A 21,579-nucleotide genomic window follows, 5' to 3' on the forward strand; every position below is an offset into this window, starting at 1 on the left:
GCTTTGACACAAGAAGGATCCTCCCAGCTGTCTTATTCCCTAGTTCTTCCCTGCAAGCCAGTAACCTACAGGTTCACCTGTGTCTTGAATCTCTTCCCAGTTGCATTTCACCACAAATTCCAATGCTCCCGAGAGCTCCCTTAGGTTTAAGCTTCTTCATATTCTGTGCAAATGAGGTTTGGCTCCTTTGGAAAGAGATTGTGTTCCACGGCTCTGAATGCTAGCGATGGCCCATAACCATCTGCTTTTGTCCTGCTTCTCCAGCAGAAAAATGAAGACATCCCAAGTGGAGTCTCTTGACTTTCTGAGCTGGGAGGGATAGGAGAGAGCAGACTTGGTTCAAATCCCACAGGTACTTGTCTCCCTGAATTTTCGTAGCTTCTCTTGAAAGATATTTCTTCATTTGCTGTTTGCCAATGGACCATTTTCAGAGACTGTAGATGTTTTGTTGTTGTCTATAATTTTCAACAGTTTTCCTTGAGAGTACTGGGAGTCCTCATACTGTCATGCTGGAAGTCACTCTCCCATTTTTTAACAATGGGAGAGACTTGAATATATTTAAGTACTCATGGGAAAAAGTCAGTGGTGGGAGGAAAGTTGAATTTATAGACAGAGATGGAATAATTAATAGAAACAAATTCTTTTAGGAGAATACGGGATATAGAACAGAGCTAGAGTGTTTAGTTTGAGATCCATGGGACCCTCTGAATGTAACGGAAATCAGAGAGGAACACACGGTAGGTTTTGTGGTTCAAAGTTCAGAAAATTCTTGATGAATGCTTTGCTCTTCCTTGTGAAGGTGGTGGTGGGGTTGTGGGTCAGAGGACGATAAGTAGAGGTTGTGGGGACTGCAGAGCTATTGGGATGAATGAGAGAGTATATTTCTAGGAAAATGGGTTAGGATTTCCATGTTGTGATAGCCATTCTCAATCTTGTTGTTCCAGTGGTGCTATGGTTTGGTATGGTTGGTCCTCACCAAAACTCACTGAGGCTTGGTCCCCAGTGTAATGGTGTTGAGTGGTGGGAGGTGTTTGGTCCACGAGGGACCCTCATGGAGAGATTAAATGCCATCTCTCAGGAGTGAGTTCTCCTGGGAATGGGTTGCTTTCCAAGAAGGTGGATTTTATAAAGTGAGGCCACCTCTCCTGTTTGGCTTCTCTTTCACAAGGCCCACTTCCCCTCCTACTTCTCTACCATGTTGTGAGACAGCACAAGGCTCCCACCAGAAGCCATGGGCACCATGCTCTTGGACTTCGCAGACACTAGAATCATGAATTAAATACCTCTTCTCTTTGCAGATTACCCTGCCTCAGATACTGTGTTATAGCAACACAAAAGGGACTAAGACAGATGGCTTTTAGAGTCCTGGGACTGATGGTACTCTGGTCTGGGCTCAATGAAGGAGCCTACCAATATCCTAATTGGCCAAAACCAACTAGGTTGTGTGTGAAAGCAACTTGATTACATTATGTTCTTTATTTTTATTTTTTACATTGACAAATGCCATCTAAAATCTTACCTAGGATCACAAAGGGAGTTTGTGGATGTGTCAGTTTGGGTTGGACCAGTTTATTCACTGTGATACAAGAACAAGTCCAGAGGCACATAGATAATTTCCCTGTTAGCCACTGACTAGAGAAGAATTATTCACTCTCTGGGCAATAATTTGTGAAGACCATTCCCCGGAGAAGAAATTTGTTTTGCTGTTAGGACATTCACCGAAATGACACTGTCTGCTTGGGGAGCGTAGGGTTTACTTGAAGATAGAGGTCCTTTGGGTCTGGTGGTACCCATGGATAAGTTCCCATGCAGGTGTCACTTTCCCCAGGTGGGGGTGTTGAGCGCTAGGCTCAGTTTGTCCTGTGAAGGCATCTTTCTGCCATCATCCCTGCCTTAGGTTAGAGTCATTACCATCTGACCCACGATCTAGTCTTTGAACATCTCTGGTTCCTTCCTCCATCTCCCCGTTGTCTTCATTAGTTTCCTAGGAGCCAAGAACACACAAATCCGTTCTTTAGTTACTTGTGCTACAACCTCCCTTCTGACTCACTTCCCTCCCTAATCTATCATTTTGTCACTTGGCAAAATTCCATTGTTGAATTTTTTCATCATTGACCTTTATCACTCTATACCCCAAAGAGTTGATTGCTCCTAGGGAGAACCATGTATCTGGGCAGTGGATGCTGCTAAAAATAAAACCATAGCAACAACAGCCTCCACTTTATGTGAGCTCTCATTGTTACCTGGACTGTCTTCTCCATGTCATTGTCAAGCACTTCTCCATTCTCCTTCCGTGTCTCTCCTCCCTAATGGAATTTTATATCTTAACCATATCCCTCGAGTCTGCAGCCTCCTTCTTTACTCATTTGATCTCAGCAACCAGTGGGTGCCCTTGTTTTGTGTAAGAAATGTAGAGGTCTTCAGGAAATTCTGTCCTGGCCTTCTTGTCCTGCTGCTTCCAAATTCATCAGAACTGGTCTTTCCTTTGAGAGGGGTGAGGGGAAGTTTTCTTTGCATCCGTGGTGTTTGTGTTCACCTGTGTTCTTGGCCCCGCCCCTTCTCCCTCCACTGCACTTGCATCTCCTTCTCTTAGGTTTGTTCCTCCGTCCCTCTTTTTGACCACATCCTCCTAATCAATTTCTGTGCTTCTAATATTCTCCTCATGCACACACTTTGTGCATCCTGCCACCGAGGCCATGCGTCTTCTAGAATGTAGATGTGCTTCTGTCTCACATGAGACACCATAAATCATTCCCCAGGAAAGTGTCCACACTCACACACAGAGGGTTCTGCTATCTGGCTCCTGTGCGGGGTGACCGTCCAGTGTGTGTCCCCTCTCCAGCCCTTGCCTGCGACATGGCATCCGTGCTGGGGAGACTTTGTAGGTGGGTCGGGGTGACCGTCCAGTGTGTGTCCCCTCTCCAGCCCTTGCCTGCGACATGGCATCCGTGCTGGGGAGACTTTATAGGTGGGTCGGGGTGACCGTCCAGTGTGTGTCCCCTCTCCAGCCCTTGCCTGCGACATGGCATCCGTGCTGGGGAGACTTTATAGGTGGGTCGGGGTGACCGTCCAGTGTGTGTCCCCTCTCCAGCCCTTGACTGCGACATGGTATCTGTGCTGGGGAGACTTTGTATGTGGGTCCTTTCTCTCCTGAGAATGTCCCCATCCCCCACTTGCCACTGTAACTCCTGCTCGTTCATGGACTCAACGCAGATGTAATTTTTGCTAAGAAGTTCCTCCCTCCTAAATTAGGGTGGGTGCCTCCTCCATGCATAAACATAATGCCCTGATCTCCACTCTGTTAATTTATAACTAGTCGTATCACTTAATATCTAATTGCACAGCCAACTTTCTATCTCCAGGACTTGCACAACAGCTCATGCTTGATAGGTGCTCAGTAAGTGGCTTATATATAAGTGAGTAAGGTCTACCTTCATTTTGCAAAGCTCAGGTGATATTCACAAGAATTTGCGAAGATTACATAAAAATGACTTAGAGCAATACACTTAATCTTACTTATTGCAAAGTAGAATCTTTCTTCTTAAAACAATTCAGGAAAGTTAAGCGACCTAGGATAGGGATTTTTACTTTTCAGAAAATTAATAGGCGATCTTCATTTGAGCTATAAAACTCTCTCAGAGTAGTCATACATCTACATGGAGTTAGCTTGGCTGTGAATCTCATTTATTCCTCAGTTTTATGTAGGACGTTTGCCCCGATAATTTGACTGGTTGTATCTCTATCTCTGTAAATAGAGATTCTTATTTCTCAGATTGTTCTGTTTTGGAAACAAAATTACAATGAGAAAACTTGAATGCACCAATAGAAATAAATGCAAAAGAACATTTATTTTCTCATCCTCTCCTTACCATTTCATCTCTCTTTTTTTTTTTTTTTTTTTTTGAGATGGAGTCTTGCTTTGTTGCCCAGGCTGGAGTGCAGTGGCACGATTTTGGCTCACTGCAACCTCCACCTCCTGGGTTCAAGCAGTTCTCCTGCCTCAGCCTCCCAAGTAGCTGGGATTATAGGCGCACGCCACCACTTGTGGCTGAACACACACACACACACTTTTTTTTTTTTTTTTAGTAGAGACAGGGTTTCACCATGTTGGCCAGGCTGGTCTCGAACTCCTGACCTTGTGATCCACCCGCCTCAGCCTCCCAAAATGCTGGGATTACAGGTGTGAGCCACTGTGTCCAGTCCATCTCTCTTTTTATTGGAAACATATGCCCTGTCACTTTGTTCCCAGAAATAAACCGTGAAGTGTCACAGAGAAAATATAAATTCTCCCACCCAATATCCAGTCTGGTTGAATTTATTCATTCCAGGATATCTGAGTCCCCTGCCATGCAAACTCATAGCCTCGTGTGGTATATTCCACCTTTCCAGAGGGCATAAGTGCTCACCTGTGTCCTGTTCATTCTGGGCACTGAATTGTGTGCCATTGGTCACATGATATCACCCAGTCCAGAGGCTTCCCTGTAAATACTTGAAATGGCTCCTTAATAGAGAACTTAAGAGAGGCGTCAGTGATGCTCCAAATGAGACGTGAGACCCAGCTGAGGCCTGAGACATGAATGAGACATGACGGGGATTTATCTAATTTAGTTAGCACATCATCAGAGATCTGCGGAGGCCTCTCCTGCGGGCACCCGTGCCTGGCCCAGCGGCACCTCTCCCTGCGGAGGCCTCTCCTGCGGGCACCCGTGCCTGGCCCAGCGGCACCGCTCCCTGCGGAGGCCTCCCCTGCGCGCACCCTCGCCTGATCCAGCGGTACCTCTCCCTGCGGAGGCCTCTCCTGCGCGCACCCTCGCCTGATCCAGCGGTACCTCTCCCTGCGGAGGCCTCTCCTGCGGGCACCCTCGCCTGATCCAGCGGTACCTCTCCCTGCGGAGGCCTCCCCTGCGCGCACCCTCGCCTGATCCAGCGGTACCTCTCCCTGCGGAGGCCTCCCCTGCGCGCACCCTCGCCTGATCCAGCGGTACCTCTCCCTGCGGAGGCCTCCCCTGCGCGCACCCTCGCCTGATCCAGCGGTACCTCTCCCTGCGGAGGCCTCCCCTGCGCGCACCCTCGCCTGATCCAGCGGTACCTCTCCCTGCGGAGGCCTCTCCTGCGCGCACCCTCGCCTGATCCAGCGGTACCTCTCCCTGCGGAGGCCTCTCCTGCGGGCAGCCGTGCCTGGCCCAGCGGCATCTCTCCCTGGCGTCAGCAGCTTTCCTCTCCGTTCCCCTCCGCCCCGTGGTGTCGTCACTTCTCGGCTGCTCACGCTGCGACGTTGTTTTGTTGGGTCGGATCTCTGCATCGGTCTGGGCATGGGTAACTACTCAGGATTAATGTCAGAAGTTGAGTTTTTGTTGGTGACACTGACAAGCTTTGTTTCCCTCCCTGTGCTCCACACGGGCTCTGGTCCTCTAACACAATCTTCCTGGGTCCCGTGCTCTGCAGGGCCAGGTCAGATGATTTCCTGAGCAGTGCGTATGTCCTGTGATGTCCTGTGTTGCTGGAATGGAGTGGATTCTTCTCTCTCAGTGAGGAATAGCTTTCTGATTGTGATCTCAGTGGAAGTCACGTGCTGTACCCACCACTGGGCAGACCTTGCTGGCCACGGCCTCCACGTGCAGTGACCGTTCTCTTGGCAGCGTCTCAGGCTGTCTGGACCAGCTGTCACAGTCTCGCTGTGGGTGAGTCACCTGAGGCACTGTATGGCGGATAGAAGGATTCATTGCCCTGGGAGGTAAGCCTGGGCCTACATTGGCCTAGGGACAGTTGTGAAGCTTATCTTGTTTTGATTCCCTGGTCACATAGAAATTTAGAATAATGATCCTTTTTAAAAAAAAATACAATAATGCTTTTATTACTTGATATGCAAATGCATATTCTTTTTTTTCCCTTAATTTCTTCTTAAAAAAAAAAACCCAGGATACATGTACAGAATGTGCAGGTTTGTTACACAGGTACGCGTGTGCCGCGGCGGTTCGTTACATAGGAACGCGTGTGCCGCGGCGGTTCGTTACGTAGGAGCGCGGGTGCCGCGGCGGTTCGTTACGTAGGTGCGCGTGTGCCGCGGCGGTTCGTTACGTAGGTGCGCGTGTGCCGCGGCCGTTCGTTACGTAGGAGCGCGGGTGCTGTGGTGGTTTGCTGCACCTATTAACCCATCCTGTAAGTTTCCTCCCCCCACTCCCTAACTCGCAACAGGCCCTGGTGTGTGTTGTTCCCCTCTCTGTGTCATTGTGTTCTCATTGTTCATCTCCCACTTATGAGTGAGAACATGTGGTGTTGGGTTTTCTGTTTCTGTGTTAGTTTGCTGAGGATAATGGCTTCCAGCTTCATCCATGTCCCTGAAAAGGACATGATCTCTTTGCTTTTTATAGCTGCATAGTATTCCATGGTGTATATGTACCACATTTTCTTTATCCAGTCTATCATTGATGGGCATTTGTGTTGGTTCCATCTCTTTGCTATTGTGAATAGTGCTGCAATAAACATACATACGCATGTGTCTTTGCAGTAGAATGATTTATAATTCTTTGGGAATATACCCAGTAATGGGATTGCTGGGGCAAATGGTATTTCTAGTTCTGGAACCTTGAGGAATTGTCATACTGTCTTCCACAATGTTTGAACTAATGTACATTCCCACCAACAGTGTAAAAGCCTTCCTGTTTCTCTGCAGCCTCAGCAGTATCTCTTGTTTCTTGACTTTTTAATAATTGCCATTCTGACTGGCATGAGATGGTATCTCATTGTGGTTTTGATTTGCATTTCTGTGATGATCAGTGATGTTGAGCTTTTTTTCATGTTTGTTGGCTGTGTAAATGTCTTCTTTTGAGAAATGTCTGTTCATATCTTTTGCCCACTTTTCGATGTTTTTTTTTTCCTGTAAATAGTTTAAGTTCCTTGTAAATTCTGGATGTTAGATCTTTGTCAGATGGGTAGATTGCAAAAATTTTCTCCCATTCTGTAGGTTGCCTGTTCATTTCGATGATAGTTTCTTTTGCTCTGCACAAGCTCTTTAGTTTAATTAGATCCCATTTGCCAATTTTGGCTTTTATTGCCACTGCTTTTGGCATTTTTCAATGAAGTCTTTGCCCTTGCCTATGTCCTGAATGGTGTTGCCTAGGTTTTCTTCTAGGATTTTTATCGTTTTGGATTTTAAATTTAAGTCTTTAATCCATCTTGAGTTAATTTTTGTATAAGGTGTAAGGAAGGGGTCCATTGTCCGTTTTCTGCATATGGCTGGCTAGTTTTCCCACCACCATTTTACTGAATAGGAGATCCTTTCTCCATTACTTGTTTTTGTCAGGTTTGTTGAAGACCAGATGGTTGTAGATGTGTGGTGTTATTTCTGAGGTCTCTGTTCTGCTCCATTGGTCTATATGTCTGTTTTGGTGTCAGTATCATGCTGTTTTGGTTACTGTAGCCTTGTAGTATAGTTTGATGTCAGGTAGCATGATGCCACCAGCTTTCTTCTTTTTGCTTAGGATTGTCTTGGCTATATGGGGTCTTCTTTGATTTCATATGAAATTTAAAATAGTTTTTTCAAATTCTGTGAAGAATGTCAGTGGTAGTTTGGGAATAGCATTGAATCCATAAATTGCTGGCAGTACGGCCATTTTCACAGTATTGATTCTTCCTATCCATGAGGATGGAATGTTTTTCTATTTCTTTGTGTTCTCTCATTTCCTTGAGCAGTGGTTTAAGTACTTCTCCTTGAAGAGGTCCTTCACATCCCTTGTTAGCTGTATTCCTAGGTATTTTATTTTCTTTGTAGTGATTGTGAATGGGAGTTCACTCATGATTTGGCTCTTTGTCTATTGTTGGTACAAAGGAAGGCTTGTGATTTTTGCACATTGATTTTGTATCCTGAGACTTTGCTGAAGTTGGTTATCAGTTCAATAAGTTTTTGGGCTGAGGTGATGAAGTTTTATAAATATAAAATCATGTAATCTGCAAACAGAGATAACTTGACTTCCTCTCTTCCTACTTGAATACCCTTTATTTCTTTCTCTTGCCTGATTGCCCTGGACAGAACTTCTAATACTATTTGAATAAGAGTGATGAGAGAGGGCCTCCTCGTCTTGTGCTGGTTTTCAGATGGAATGCTTCCAGCTTTTGCTCATTCAATATGATATTGGCTGTGGGTTTGTCGTAAATAGCTCATTATTTTGAGATATGTTCCTTCAATACCTAGTTTATTGAGAGTGTTTAACAATCAATGTTCATCAGGAATATTGGCCTGAAGTTTTCTTTTATTGTTGTGTCTCTTCCTGGTTTTGGTATCAGAATGATGCTGGCTTAATAAAATGAGTTAGGGAGGAGTCCCTCCTTTTCAATTGTTTGGAATAGTTTCAGAAGGAATGGTACCAGTGCCTGTTTGTATTTCTGGTAGAATTCAGCTGTGAATCCGTCTGGTCCTGGGCTTTTTTTGGTTGATAGGCTATTAATTACTGCCTCAATTTCAGAGCTGTTATTGTTCCATTCAGGGATTCAATTTCTCCCTGGTTTAGTCTTGGTAGGGTATATGCATCCAGGAATCTATCCAGTTATTTTAGATTTTCTAGTTTATTTGCATAGAGGTGTTTATAGTATTCTCTGATCGTAGTTTGTATTTCTTTGAGGTCATTTTTTATTGTGTCTTTGATTCTTCTCTCTCTTTTTCTTTATTAGTCTAGCTAGCAGTCTATTTTGTTAATTTTTTTCAAAAAACAGCTCCTGGATTTGTTGATTTTTTTCGGACCATTTTTCATCTATCTCCTTAAATTCTTCTCCGATGTTAGTTATTTCTTGTCTTCTGCTAGCTTTTGGATTAGTTTGCTCTTGCCTCTATAGCTCTTATAATTGCACTGTTGGGGTGTCTATCTGACATCTTTCTAACTTTCTGATGTGGGCATTTAGTGCTATAAATGTCCCTCTTAACACTGCTTTAGCTGTGTCTCAGAGATTCTGATACGTTGTCTCTTTGTTCTCATTAGTTTCAAAGAACTTCTTGATTTCTGCCTTAATTTCATTATTTACCCAGGAGTCATTCAGGAGCAGGTTGTTCAATTTCCATGAGATTGTGTGGTTTTGAGTGAGTTTCTTAATCCCAAGTTCTAATTTGATTGCACTGTGGTCTGGAGAGACTGTTATGATTTCAGTTCTTTTGCATTTGCTGAGGAGTGTTTTACTTCCAATTACGTGGCTGATTTCATAATAGTTGCCATGTGGCACTGAGAAGAATGTATATTCTGTTGATTGGGGGTAGAGAGTTCTGTAGATGTCTACTAGTTCCATTTGATCTAGAGCTGAGTTCAAGTCCTGAATATCCTTGAGAACTTTCTGTCTTGTTGATCTGTCTAACACTGACAGTGGGGTGCTAAAGTTTCCCACTATTGTTGTGTGGGAGTCTAAGTCTCCTTGTAGGTCTCTAAGAACTTGTTTTGTGAATCTGGATACTCCTTTATTGGGTGCGTATATATTCAGAATAGTTAACTCTTCTTGTCGAATTGATCCCTTTACCATTATGTAATGCTCTTCTTTGCCATTTTTGATCTTTGTTGGCTTAAAGTCTGTTTTGTCAGAGATTAGGATTGCAACCCCTGCTTTTTTTTTTTGCTTTCCATTTGCTTGGTAAATATTCCTCCATCCCTTTATTTTGAGCCTACATGTGTCTTTGCATGTAAGATGGGTCTCCTGAATACAGCACACTGATGGGTCTTGACTCCTTATCCAATTTGCCAGTCTGTGTCTGTTAATTGGGGGCATTTAGCCCATTTACATTTAAGGTTAGTATTGTTATGTATGAATTTGATCCTGTCATCATGATACTATTTGGTTATTTTCCACACTAGTTGATGCAGATTCTTCATAGTGTCATTGGTCTTTATATTTTGGTGTGTTTTTGCAGTGGCTGGTACCAGTTTTTCCTTTCCATATTTAGTGCTTCTTTCAGGAGCTCTTACAGGGCAGGCCTGGTGGTAATGAAATCCCTCAGCATTTTCTTGTCTGGAAAGGATTTTATTTCTCCTTCACTTATGAAGCTTAGTTTGGCTGGATATGAAATTCTGGATTGAAAATTCCTTTCTTTAAGAATGTTGAATATTGACTCCCAGTCTCTTCTGGCGTGTAGGGTTTCTGCTGGAGGTCTGCTGTTAGTCTGATGGGCTTCCCTTTGTAGGTGACTTGGCCTTTCTGTCTGGCTGCCCTTAACGTTTTTTTCTTCATTTCAACCTTGGAGAATCTGATGATTATGTGTCTTGGGGTTGATCTTCTCATGGAGCATCTTAATGGTGTTCTCTGTATTTCCTGAATTCCTAGCATGTTGGCCTGTCTTGCTAGGTTGCAGAAGTTCTCCTGGATAATATCCTGCAGTGTGTTTTCCAGCTTGTTTCCATTCTTCCTGTCTCCTTCTGGTACTCCAATCAATCGTAGGTTTAATCTTTTTATGAAGTCCCACATTTCTTGGAGGCTTTGTTCATTCCTTTTCATTCTTTTTTCTCTATTGCCTTATGTAAGGTCTGTATGCCTTATTTCAGTAACGTGATCTTCAAACTCTGATATCCTCTCTTCCACTTGGTCAATTAAGCTATTGATACTTGTGTATGCTTCATGAAGTTCTCGTGCTGTGTTTTTCAGCTCTGTCAGGTTATGTTCCTTTATAAATAGTTATTCTAGTTAGCAATTCCTCTAACCTTTTATCAAGGTTCTTAGCTTCTTTGCACTGGGTTAGAACATGCTCCTTTAGCTCATCGTAGTTTTTTGTTACCCATCTTCTGAAGCTTACTTCTGTCAATTTGTCCACCTGATCCTCCATCCAGTTCTGCACGCTGACTTGTGATCATTTGGAGAAGATAAGACCCTCTGGCCTTTTGGGTTTTCAGCATTTTTTTTCATTGATTCTTTCTCATCTTTGTGAGTTTGTCTAATTTTGGTCTTTGAGGCTGCTGACCCTTGGATGGGGTTTCTGTGGGGGCCATTTTTGTTGTTGTTTATGCTGTTGTCACTTTCTGCTTTTTTTTTTTTTCAATAATCCGGTCCCTCTTCTGTTGGGGTGCTGCAGTTTGCTGGGGGTTCACTTCAGGCCCTATTCATCTGACTCACTCCTGTGCCTGGAGATGTCACTCAGGGAGGCTGGAGAACAGCCAAGATGGGTGCCTGTTCCTTCTTCTGGGACCTCTGACCTTGAGGGGCACCAACCTGTTGCCAGTAGGGTGTCTGTGTACAGGGTGTGTGACAACCCCTGTTGGAGGGTCTCACCGAGTTGGGTTGCACGAGGAGCAGGTTTCATGCTTGTCCGTGTGAAGAGACCACCAAACAGGTTTTGTGTGAGCAATAAAGCTGTTTATTTCATCTGGATGCAGGTGGGCTGAGTCCGAAAAGAGAGTCATTGAAGGGAGATAGGGGTGGGGCCATTTTATAGGATTTGGGTGGATAAAGGAAAATTACAGTCAAAGGGGGGTTGTTCTCTGGCGGGCAGACTGGAGGTCACAAGGTGCTCAGTAGGGGAGCTTTTGAGCCAGGATGAGCCAGGAGAAGGAATTTCACAAGACAATGTCATCAGTTAAGGCAGGAACAGGCCATTTTCACTTCTTTTGTGGTGAAATGTCATCAGTTAAGGCAGGAACCGGCCATGTGGATGTGTACGTGCAGGTCACAGGGGATATGATGGCTTAGCTTGGGCTCAGAGGCCTGACAGCAGGCCCCGTTTAATGAAGCACTTTGTCCCTTGGTGGAGAGGGTGTGTTTCACTGCAGGGAAGCACATGTGTCTGGGCTGCCTGGGTTCCTCAGAACTCCCAGGAGGAGAGGCTAAGTCTGCTGGTCCAGAGACTGTGGCCACCCTGCAGCTAGGGGCTCAGGCCTAGGGAGTTCTGGGGTCTGTCCCTGAGCTTCTGGCTGGAGTTATTGGAGTTCTTGCAGGGAAGCCACCCACTGAGGAAGGATGGGTCAGGGTCGAGCCTGAAGAGCACTCTGGACACAGACGGCCACAGGGTGTGTTGCGCTGTGCAGACAAGTCTTGGGACCAAGCCATTCAGCTTCCCTGGCTCCAGTAGGGGAAGAGCGCAGCCTGGAGCTATAGAAATGGGTGCCGGGGAGTTTAGCATGTTAGGCCATTGTGAGCCCCAGTGCTGGCTGCTGCCCCTCCCCAGGGAGTTAAAACAGCTTAGACAGCAGGCCGCTGCAGCCAGTGCTGGTCACCCCTCCCCCCAGGAGTTCTGTAGGCTTAAGCAGATTCCATCAGAGAGGCTGTAAGAATCTTCACGTTCCGGGGCTGGAACTGTAGGCCCCAGTGGCGTGAGTTTGCAAGTGGGATCTTCTGATCCGTGGGTTGCACGGTTTTGTGGGAAAAGCAAAGTTTCCCCCGCTGGGTAGTGTGCTCACTCACCGCCTCCCTTGGCTGGGGGAAGGGACTCCCCTTCCCCGTGTGTTTCTCGGGTGGCCCCCTCACCACACTGCTCTTCCTCCTCTCTGTGGGTCACGCCAGCCTTCTAGTGAAGTTTGATGAGAGAACCTGGATACCTTGGCTGCCGGTGAAGGATTCACATGCTTATTTTGTTTTTTTCCGATGGGAGCCTCCAAACGGCTCTGCTTCTAGTCAGCCATCTCGGCCAGAATAATCATCCTTGGGCGTTTAGTTTCTGATACAGACATTAAGAAAAGCCGTCTAGGATGAGCCATGCACGTGCACGCGCATGGCAGAGCGTGGTTTGCTGCAGGACTTTTCAGAGCGTTTGTGACCACTTGTCGTTGCAGGCGCCTGGATGAGTGTTTATTCTGTGATTCTTTGACTTCCTTGACCATGGAACGTTTTTTTTCCCCATGGGAATATAGTTCGGGAATTGCCTCTCCAGCCTGATGGAAGGTTGGGGATGTGCGCTGTCTTCCCTTCTGGTTCTCGTTCTTATTCCTCTGCTCCGCCTTGCCAGGATGGCCCTTCTCTTCTGGGTCTCGATGGCGCCTCCTCCTCCCTTCCCTCCTCCCCTTCCCTCTGCGGCTGCGTAATTCCTCCTTGCGCTTTCTTGATTCTACCCCAGGAGCCTCACAGTGGGGACTTGCAGGTTTGCCCTCACCCACCCGGTGCCACCAGCAGAGCCACCTGTCCAGATGCAGATTCAATGTTGTCCTATCACAGATCCCCTTGGCAGAGTGTGGCTGGGATCTGCTTCCTGTGTGTCTCCGGCCTCAGCCCCCTGTCCTTTGCAAACCTCCCCTCTGTGCCCAAGCCACCCTGGGGCGTTTCCCGACCCCCCTAAACTCTAGGGCATGACAACCCTGTTGCATGGGATGTTCTTGGCACCCCAGCTGGGAGATCCTCGCTGTGTGACCTTCCCGCCCACCCGGCTGTGCCCCTTACTGGCTCCCCCTTGTCCTCACTGCCCCCAGGACCTGGGTCAGTGCTATTGGGTTTGCAGGGCTGTGTCCCTGATTCCCTCCCCTCATCCCTTCATGGTGGGCAGGGTGTGGCATCCTCTTCTGGCTCCCCCTCCCTTGGGGGGTGCTTTTCAGAGGCTGTGAGGAATTCGGGGTAAATAAGGCACCCCCCCCCCAGTTGCCAAGGCCAAGGATGTGGGCTTCCAGGCCACAGGTGTGATTGAGGGCATGGCTGAAGGTGAAAGGCGACAAGGACCCGTGTGGCGACCAGGACCAGGCGTGTGCATGTCAGGAAGGGTATTTTATTTCATCTTAATTTTGAGAAATGCTCAGGATTTCAATAGAAAAGCAGAAGAAAGGCCAGGGGTGGGGGCTGAGAAACAGCAGAGGCCCAAAAGGTCAGGCTGTGGAGAATGTGAGTGGTACAGCCCTGGTGAGGTGTACACATGGCAGACGAGGGGATGCGCTCTCCCTGCGGTCGGAAGCTGTTCTCTTGGGGTTCAGGTGATGCCAGGTGGCACCTTCCCTGCACCCGTGTGTGCGTGGGCAGCTGCTGGGCCACAGGATGGGAGCCTCGCCTGGGGAGGGCTGATCGCAGGACTGTTCCATCTCAGAGAGCGTGAGGCCGGCCTCGAGAGCCTCCGGGATTCAGAAGGTGGCTGGTTCTGGGAGTAGAGGATGGGTGGTGTGGACAGGAAGATCTAATTTAAATGATAAATAGGACCCTTGAGAAAGAAGAATCCCATGACAAAGAGACAAAGAGAATTCTAAAAGACACTGTGGAGTGCAAAGCACGCCAGGATCCCAGCCAGCCCAGGACGGGGAGGGCCTGGGAGAGATTCTCACTGCCTGGGGATACAAAGCCTGCATCCCAGCCAGCCGAGGAGGGGGAGGACCTTGGGAGAGCTTCCACTGCTGCAGGGAAGCCGGGCTAGTGACTGGGGCCGCATCCACAGGTGTCTGGGGGCTGCGCCACACAGAGCATGGAGGTGATGCTTTCCTGTAACACTGCACGTAAGTGTGCATGAGTCAGTGCCGAGAAAGCCCCTTTTGCCCCTTAGGATGGCCACTGTCAAAACCGCAGATAATAGCAAGTGTTGGGAGGATGTGGAGGAATTGGGTCCTGGGTGTTGCTGCTGGGAATGGAAGATGGGGCAGATGCTGTGGAAAATGGTGTATGGAGATTCATCAAAAACTCGAGACGGAACCACCTTGTGACCCAGCCGTTCCCCTCCTGAGTTGATCCAAATGATAGACAGCGGGGTCTCGGGGCAGCCCCTGCACACCCAGGCTCATAGCGGCTTGTGCACAGCAGCCAGAGGTGGCAGCAGCTAGCGTGTCCGTCCATGGATGGGAGGATGGGTGAAGAGCGGCCCATCCACACAGCCGAACATGAGTCAGCCTCAAAGAGGAACGAAATCCCGACGAGGCTATGGGGTGGATGAACCCTGGGGACACTATGCTGAGTGGAATAAGCCAGTCACAGAAAGACCTTGCTGTGTGACTCCACTCATACAATGCCCCTGGGGCTGCAGATTCATAGAGGCAGAAAGTAGAATGGGGGGTGCCAGGGGCTGGGGAGGGGGCGTGGGAGGACAACACAGCTAGATGGAGAAAGCAAATGTGTGGTTAAAGAAAATGGAGGGTTTAGCTGCGTGGCTTCCCTGGGTAGGTCAGCTCCCTGGTCTGTTCCCTGTGCTGGAAGCACAGTTCCGTTTCTGCTGCAGAACAGAGAGGCGGGGGAGACCGGGAACCACCAGGCGGGGCAGAGGGATGGGTAGGAGAGGCCGAGCCAGGCAGGCCATGCTCCAGCAGTAGCAGCAACATCTCAGGTTTAGGAGGGAATTTAGGGTTTTTCCTGCTGCAGCTTCTTAGTCCTACAGAAATGTTAGATGAATGCAGTTTCTAAGCATCCCTAGCCAGCCAGGGCATGGACAGGTCCCCACCCCCAACCCACCCCCATGGAATCCCGTGCCTCCTGGTCTGCATCCTGCCTCTGGGATTGGTCTGTGGTTGTGCAAACAATGGTTGGTTCCAGGATCAAGCTCTGGACTCACAGAAGTACTTTGCACGTCCAGAGGAAAGCCCGGGGCTAAAGAGGCTGCCTTTGCCTTTTACAAGATGACCTGAAGTGAGACACCCTTGCCTGCAAGTTCGGAAGTGGAACCGAGGGCAGGCTGGTTCCTGCTGAGCCGCGTGCAACGTGGGGCAGAAGTGGAACCGAGGGCAGGCCGGATCCTGCAGAGTGGCATGCGATGTGGGGTCATGGGAGAGTCCTGCCCTCCAGAGTCACTTTCCCTTTGGGTAAAATGATGACGTTTTGCAGAATGTCCGACAGCTAGGAAGGCAGGCACGGTGGAAGACCCTGAACTGCTGGGTGCCTTTTGACCCTGCCAGGATGACCAATTCGATGAGGCTGCCCTGTGATTCATCTAACTTACGTGTCGTATCTAATTTCTCACATTGCAAATCCATTCAATTAGATTTAATTAGGCAGATGGAGCAAATATGCACCCTTGTCTGCAGCAGATAGGCAGGAAACCTGTCCCATGAAGGGGAGGGTGGGGTTAGAGCCCAGTCCTGCGGTCTTGGATGAAGCTGCCCTTCCATCCAGTGTGGCCCTGGGGCCGCCCCTCAGCCCGGAAGCTGTCAGGAGGGTCTTTCTGCAGTGAGGGAAGTCCGTTAGGCATGCTGTGGTTTCATGACAGCATCCAGCGGCCCTCCTGCCTGCAGGTCTATCCAGGACTCTGTTAACCGTCGTTCTTTTGGAAAATGTTTGCAGAGCACCAGCCCTGCCAGGTGCTGTCCTAGGCTCTGGACATGGGGGTCTCCAAGGTGTGTCCTGACAGAACGAGACCCCCTTCGGCCAGCAGCATGGGGCCCGAGCCCCTCCTCTTGCTGTGACAATGCGGATGTGGTTGTCTCGGAGTGCAGAGGTTCCCATGGTTACTGTTGAAGCATTGGGAGGTTCGGCGTCTCCGAGTAGCTCAGCCTTCTCTCCTTGGCTGTCGGCCCGAGGCTTCGAGGTCACCCAGGCCGTGTGGCTCAGGCTTCAGGCCCCTCTTGCTCTTCCCTTCTGGCAGGCAGGGGCTTCTTCCCCTCGTGCGTGAGACGTCCTTGTGGGAAGGGCCCTCTCGGAGCAGTGTGCGTCTCCCTCTCCCATGGCCACTGCAATGTTTCTGCTGTTGGAGGCTCAGTCAGCTGAGCCCTTGGGTGGGAGACGCCCCCAGAGCAGCCTCCCTGCAGCCTGAGGTGGACACGGAATGAGTGATCTTTGTGGCTTCCAGCCCTTAGACTTGGAGGTTGTCACTCCAGCACGGTCGAGACATCTCTGTGTTACAGAGACTGGTGTGACAGGGACAGGGCTGCCCTCCCCTCTGATGCGTTCACAGCAGCCAAGATGCTGAATCTACCTGCGTGCCCAGGAGTGATGTGTGGGTGAAGAGAATGTGGCATGTACACAATGGAATACTATTTAGCCTTAAAAAAGAATGAAATCCTGTCATTTGTGGAAACATGGATGGAGCTGGGGGACACCGTGACAAATAAGCCAGGTGCAGAAAGACAAGCACAGCTGATCTCACTCACGTGGGAATCTATGACAAGGCAAATGTATGGAGGCGGAGCAGGGGTGTGGTGGGGAGAGCAGAGTGACAGCTGGCAGGGGTGGGGTGGGGAGAGTGGAGTGGCGGCTGGCAGGGGCGGGGTGGGGAAAGTGGAGCGGTGGATGGCAGGGGTGGCATGGGAAGAGCAGAGTGGTGGCTGGCAGGGCAGGGTGGGGAGAGCGGAGTGGTGACTGGCAGGGGTAGTGGCTGGCAGGGGCGGGGTGGGGACAGCAGAGTGGTGGCTGGCAGGGGTGGGGTGGGGAGAACAGAGTGGAGGCTGGCAGGGGCGGGGTGGGGAGAGCGGAGTGGTGACTGGCAGGGGTAGCGGCCGGCAGGGGCGGGGTGGGGGGAGTGGAGTGGCGGTTGGCAGGGGCGGGGTGGGGAAAGTGGGGTGGCGGATGGCAGGGGTGGCATGGGAAGAGCAGAGTGGTGGCTGGCAGGGCAGGGTGGGGGAGTGGGGTGGTGGCTGGCAGGGCTGGGGTGGGTGTGGGGAGTCAGCTGGGTGGGCTGGTGGGCTCTGGAGGCTACACAGTATAGTGACTGCAGTTAATAATAACACAGAGCTGCATATTTCAGAACAGCCAGAAGAGGGGATTTAAAATGTTCTCACCACAAAGAAATGGTAAATCCTTGAGGTGATGGATATGCTAATTAGCTCAATTTGGTCATTCCACAATGTATGCAGGACGGATACATCATATCGGACTCCATAAGTATACACAGTCATTATATGTCAACTAAAAATAAAACTTAAAATTATGGATGTGTATAATGTAATAGCTGTTGCAGTTGCAGTGTTGTTTTATCTGCAGCATCCCCCGTGCTGAGACACAGCAGCTCTTTCCACCTCTGTTTCCGGGGAGCAGGGGGCTGTCGGTCTCTGGACGCTGCCCGTCCCCCCTTCTGAGACCACACGCTTGGCGCTGATGAGGAGCAGGAAGGGTTTGTGTAACCAGAGCTTGAGAGGAGGCTGGAAGTGGTAGCTAGAGCCACATTGCATGGGGCCTTCAGGCCCTTTAACGATGAAATGTTTGGGGCCATTGCAGTGGGTTTTGAGCAGAATAATGCAGTGTGACTTAGGGTTCACGAGGTTTATGAGAGCCCTTTCGGTGGTGGTGTGAAGGAGGGTTATGGGACAGGAGGCTGCTGAACCAGTCAGGCTGCGGGAGGATGGTTGCTGTCCAGGTCGGTGTGGGGCAGTGGTGAGAGGTGTCAATCCCCAGGGTTTGTTGGATGGGGATGATAGTGGCTAGGTAGGTGTGGGGCAGTGGTGAGAGGTGTCAATCCCCAGGGTTTGTTGGATGGGGATGATAGTGGCTAGGTAGGTGTGGGGCAGTGGTGAGAGGTGTCAATCCCCAGGGTTTGTTGGATGGGGATGATAGTGGCTAGGTAGGTGTGGGGCAGTGGTGAGAGGTGTCAATCCCCAGGGTTTGTTGGATGGGGATGATAGTGGCTAGGTAGGTGTGGGGCAGTGGTGAGAGGTGTCAATCCCCAGGGTTTGTTGGATGGGGATGATAGTGGCTAGGTAGGTGTGGGGCAGTGGTGAGAGGTGTCAATCCCCAGGGTTTGTTGGATGGGGATGATAGTGGCTAGGTAGGTGTGGGGCAGTGGTGAGAGGTGTCAATCCCCAGGGTTTGTTGGATGGGGATGATAGTGGCTAGGTAGGTGTGGGGCAGTGGTGAGAGGTGTCAATCTCCAGGGTTTGTTGGATGGGGATAATGGATGGGATGCAGGTTTGGAGGAGAGGATGTAGGGTTTTGTGCAGGACCTGGCCGGGGAGTGGAATGGTGGTACCATTGCCAGTTCCACCTGGCACCCTGAGCTGCCGGGATGGTGTGACACCAGGGCGGGGGGGCTGGGTGGTGGGGAGATGATGTATTTGGGGAAGTCACACTAATTTTGGGGTACCCATCCGACATCTAAATGGTGCCATGGACTGAACATGTCCCCCCAAATTCCTATGTTGAAGCCTTGGTCCCCAGTGGGATGGTGCTTGGAGGGTGGGGCCCTGGGGGGCGATGACGGCGAGGTGTAGTCACGAGGGTGGGGCCCCCATGTTGGTATTCGTGCCCTTGTAGGAAGAGGAAGAGACCAAGTACTGTCTTCTATGGGAGGGCATGGCAGGAAGGCACCATCTGAGCCCGGAAGTGGGTCCTCACCAGACACTGCCGTCACCTCCGCGCTGGACCTGCAGCCTCCAGAACTGTGAGAAATGAATTCTGCTGTTCATTTATGGGCCCCCCAGTCTGTGGCTTTTGTTTTATCAGCCCCAGCTGACTAAGACAAGTGGTGTCTCTTAATGAATTGATGAATTCTTTGTGTTTTGAAGAGTCTTCATGGATGGTACTTCAGCCCGAGGAGATGCGTGTGCTTTGTAAGAGATTTGAGGGGTGAAGTCGCCCCAAGTTTTACATCTGTAACAGGCTTTGAATGACTGTTCTTGCCTCAGTGCCACCAGAGTCAGTGGCGCAAGGGAGAATCATCGGAGGAAACCCCCTCACTGGTGTGGAATCGGAGCCCCCTTCCTGCGCTTGGAGTGGGGGTTCAGCAGCAGGTCTCTGTTCACTGTGACAAACGCTGATGTTTCATGGAGATGCTGGAATCTCGTGTAAAACATGATCGTGGCCTCGCACTCAATCCCTTATTTCACAGGTGTTTGTCACCAAGCAACCCTGGTCCTGCCAGGCCATGTTGAGGCTCCCTTCTTTCTCCAAACCCTGTTTGCTCTAGTCTGGGTTTGCTGGATGCATGTTTTAAATAAGAAGGTGAACACCACGATTGTGCCGATGTATCTGCATTGTAACTGGAAAGCTTTAGGAAGGCCTGGGAGGACTTCAACTCCAGATGAATTTCACGGTCATTTTACATTTTTTCTTAAGGACATTTCAGCGATGCTTCCTCACAGTTGTAAAAATTGTTGTGCAGACTAGCTGGACGTTATTTTACATGAGTCTGTTTTAATCTCATCTAATAAACATGGGCGCCCGGTAAGAAGCCGAGGAGTCACGGGGGTGTGTGCGAGCGCGAAGGGCTGCGTCTCACTCCCAAGACCCGGCACCCCCTGCATCTTCTGTTCCCTCTGCCGCCCCTTCCCTGCCCCGGCAGCCGCTCTCCTCCCGCCCCTCCCCCTCCCCACGGGCTCACAGGGCTGCATCCTGAGTTTCGGGTGAGCCAGAAGCGAGCACCGCAGATGCTCTTCTGTTCAACGGCTTTTCCTTATGACACTGATGAGGAAAACATTGATCCCAGCTGGGGTGCTCTCCGTGCGGGGTTGGCTCCTTCCCCCAGGGCTGTGAGTTTCTCTGGGGACCAGGCTTCCTCCCACATCCCAAAGCCCTGCACGTGCAGCGAGTTGCTGTGTTCCCTCCGTTGCTGTCTCAGTGCCTGTGGTGACCTCCATCCAGGCCTGGATCCTGCCTGGCACCCTGAGCTGCTGGAGTGAGCTCCCGCCACGTGTGACCCTGACCTGCAGTAAGTGGGTTGGAAAATGAATGAATGAATGAATATAAATTTTTGTAAAAACATGTATCAGGTCTACGATACCCGTACAAGTGGGCAGTAAACCGTACAGCAGGAAAGCGCTCAGTCAGCCGCTGAGGGCTGTTCTTGTCTGTGACCTGTGTGGGGGCAGAAGTGCTCCCCATGGTGTTTGCTTTGGAAATGTTTATCCCATGACTTAACCCACTGTGGCCAGGGCTGTAGCCTCCTGCTTGGGTGAGGTCTGGCGACTTCACCCAAGAGGCCTTGGGGTGACTTCACTCCCCAAATCTCTTACAAAGCACACGCATCTCCTCGGGCTGAAGTGCACCCTGGCGTGGTCCCTGGAAGGCGGTCATTGGCCGGGGCAGCGATGTTTGGTGTGCGAGCTTTGCACTTACTGAGACGCTTCATCCGCAGGGCACACATCCAAAGCCCATGCAGCGTCTGGTTCCCTCTCATCCATTTCTCTAGTCACGGAGACATGATTGGGGGTGCTGTGTGCAGGGAAGGGGCCTGGAGAAGCCGCAGGTTTGGACGTGGATTTTGAGGCGCCTGCCTTTTGGGACTCCGCGTGCTTCCAGCCCCTGCAGCTCATTGCTGGGTCCTCACTCAGATGCCTCTGTGGGGACCTCTGGTCCTGCATTCCCAGCTCTAAGAAGGCCCTCCATCTGCTCTTTATCTCACAAAGCACGTGGAAGCTGTTGCTTTGTGCTCACCGTTCTTCTGGTGCTTGTGAGTTTTTGCCTTGGTCACTCTCCCGTGTAAAATGGAGTTTCAGCTGCAGCTTTGAAGGGGGTTAATGGAGTGGATATCCCTGTTCACTGGAGGGTGAGCCCTGCGCATCAGAGAATGTTTCTTGCACCAGCAGCGCCGACAGTTCCTGGGAGCTTGACGGACAAACAGACTCTTGGGCCCTGCCCCAGAACTCCTGCGTGGGTCCAGCAGAAGGTGTTTAACAAGCCCCCCAGGCGGTTCTGACGCCAGTGGAAGTGTGAAGACCTCTGACTCATAGATAACAACCGTTGACTGATGGCAGCTCATCCCAGTGCTGGTGAGATCCAGCGGAACAGCAGCCTGATGTCTTCACGCCACTGACGCCGCATCTCCAGCCCCTGGATGGTTCCTCTCTCCAACCTGCTCCCATA

The 21,579-nt window shown here is 49.9% G+C and overlaps 1 protein-coding gene and 1 long non-coding RNA gene across 3 annotated transcripts in view, besides 2 other annotated features; one reads left to right on the forward strand and one right to left on the reverse strand.

Annotated features, from left to right (window-relative positions):
- DLGAP2 (DLG associated protein 2) overlaps positions 1-21,579 on the forward strand; it is a 970,849-nt gene that overhangs the window by 139,987 nt on the left and 809,283 nt on the right. The gene's annotated exons all lie outside the window — the stretch shown is intronic.
- Positions 1,557-5,612, reverse strand: LOC105377777 (uncharacterized). Its single transcript, NR_160729.1, has 2 exons — positions 5,142-5,612; positions 1,557-1,984 (listed from the first exon to the last, which is right to left on the reverse strand). It is a non-coding gene; the product is annotated as an uncharacterized LOC105377777 (long non-coding RNA).
- Positions 13,335-14,074: an enhancer, noted in NCBI's record as "OCT4-NANOG-H3K27ac-H3K4me1 hESC enhancer chr8:840949-841688 (GRCh37/hg19 assembly coordinates)". NCBI's record gives its function as "activates a minimal SCP1, AML or CMV promoter by ChIP-STARR-seq in primed H9 embryonic stem cells {active_cell/tissue: H9 hESC(primed)}" and the evidence as "EXISTENCE:reporter gene assay evidence [ECO:0000049][PMID:30033119]".
- Positions 14,075-14,814: an enhancer, noted in NCBI's record as "OCT4-NANOG-H3K27ac-H3K4me1 hESC enhancer chr8:841689-842428 (GRCh37/hg19 assembly coordinates)". NCBI's record gives its function as "activates a minimal SCP1, AML or CMV promoter by ChIP-STARR-seq in naive and primed H9 embryonic stem cells {active_cell/tissue: H9 hESC(naive and primed)}" and the evidence as "EXISTENCE:reporter gene assay evidence [ECO:0000049][PMID:30033119]".

The sequence above is a fragment of the Homo sapiens genome, chromosome 8 (genome assembly GCF_000001405.40).
Source record: "Homo sapiens chromosome 8, GRCh38.p14 Primary Assembly".
NCBI lineage: Eukaryota > Metazoa > Chordata > Mammalia > Primates > Hominidae > Homo > Homo sapiens.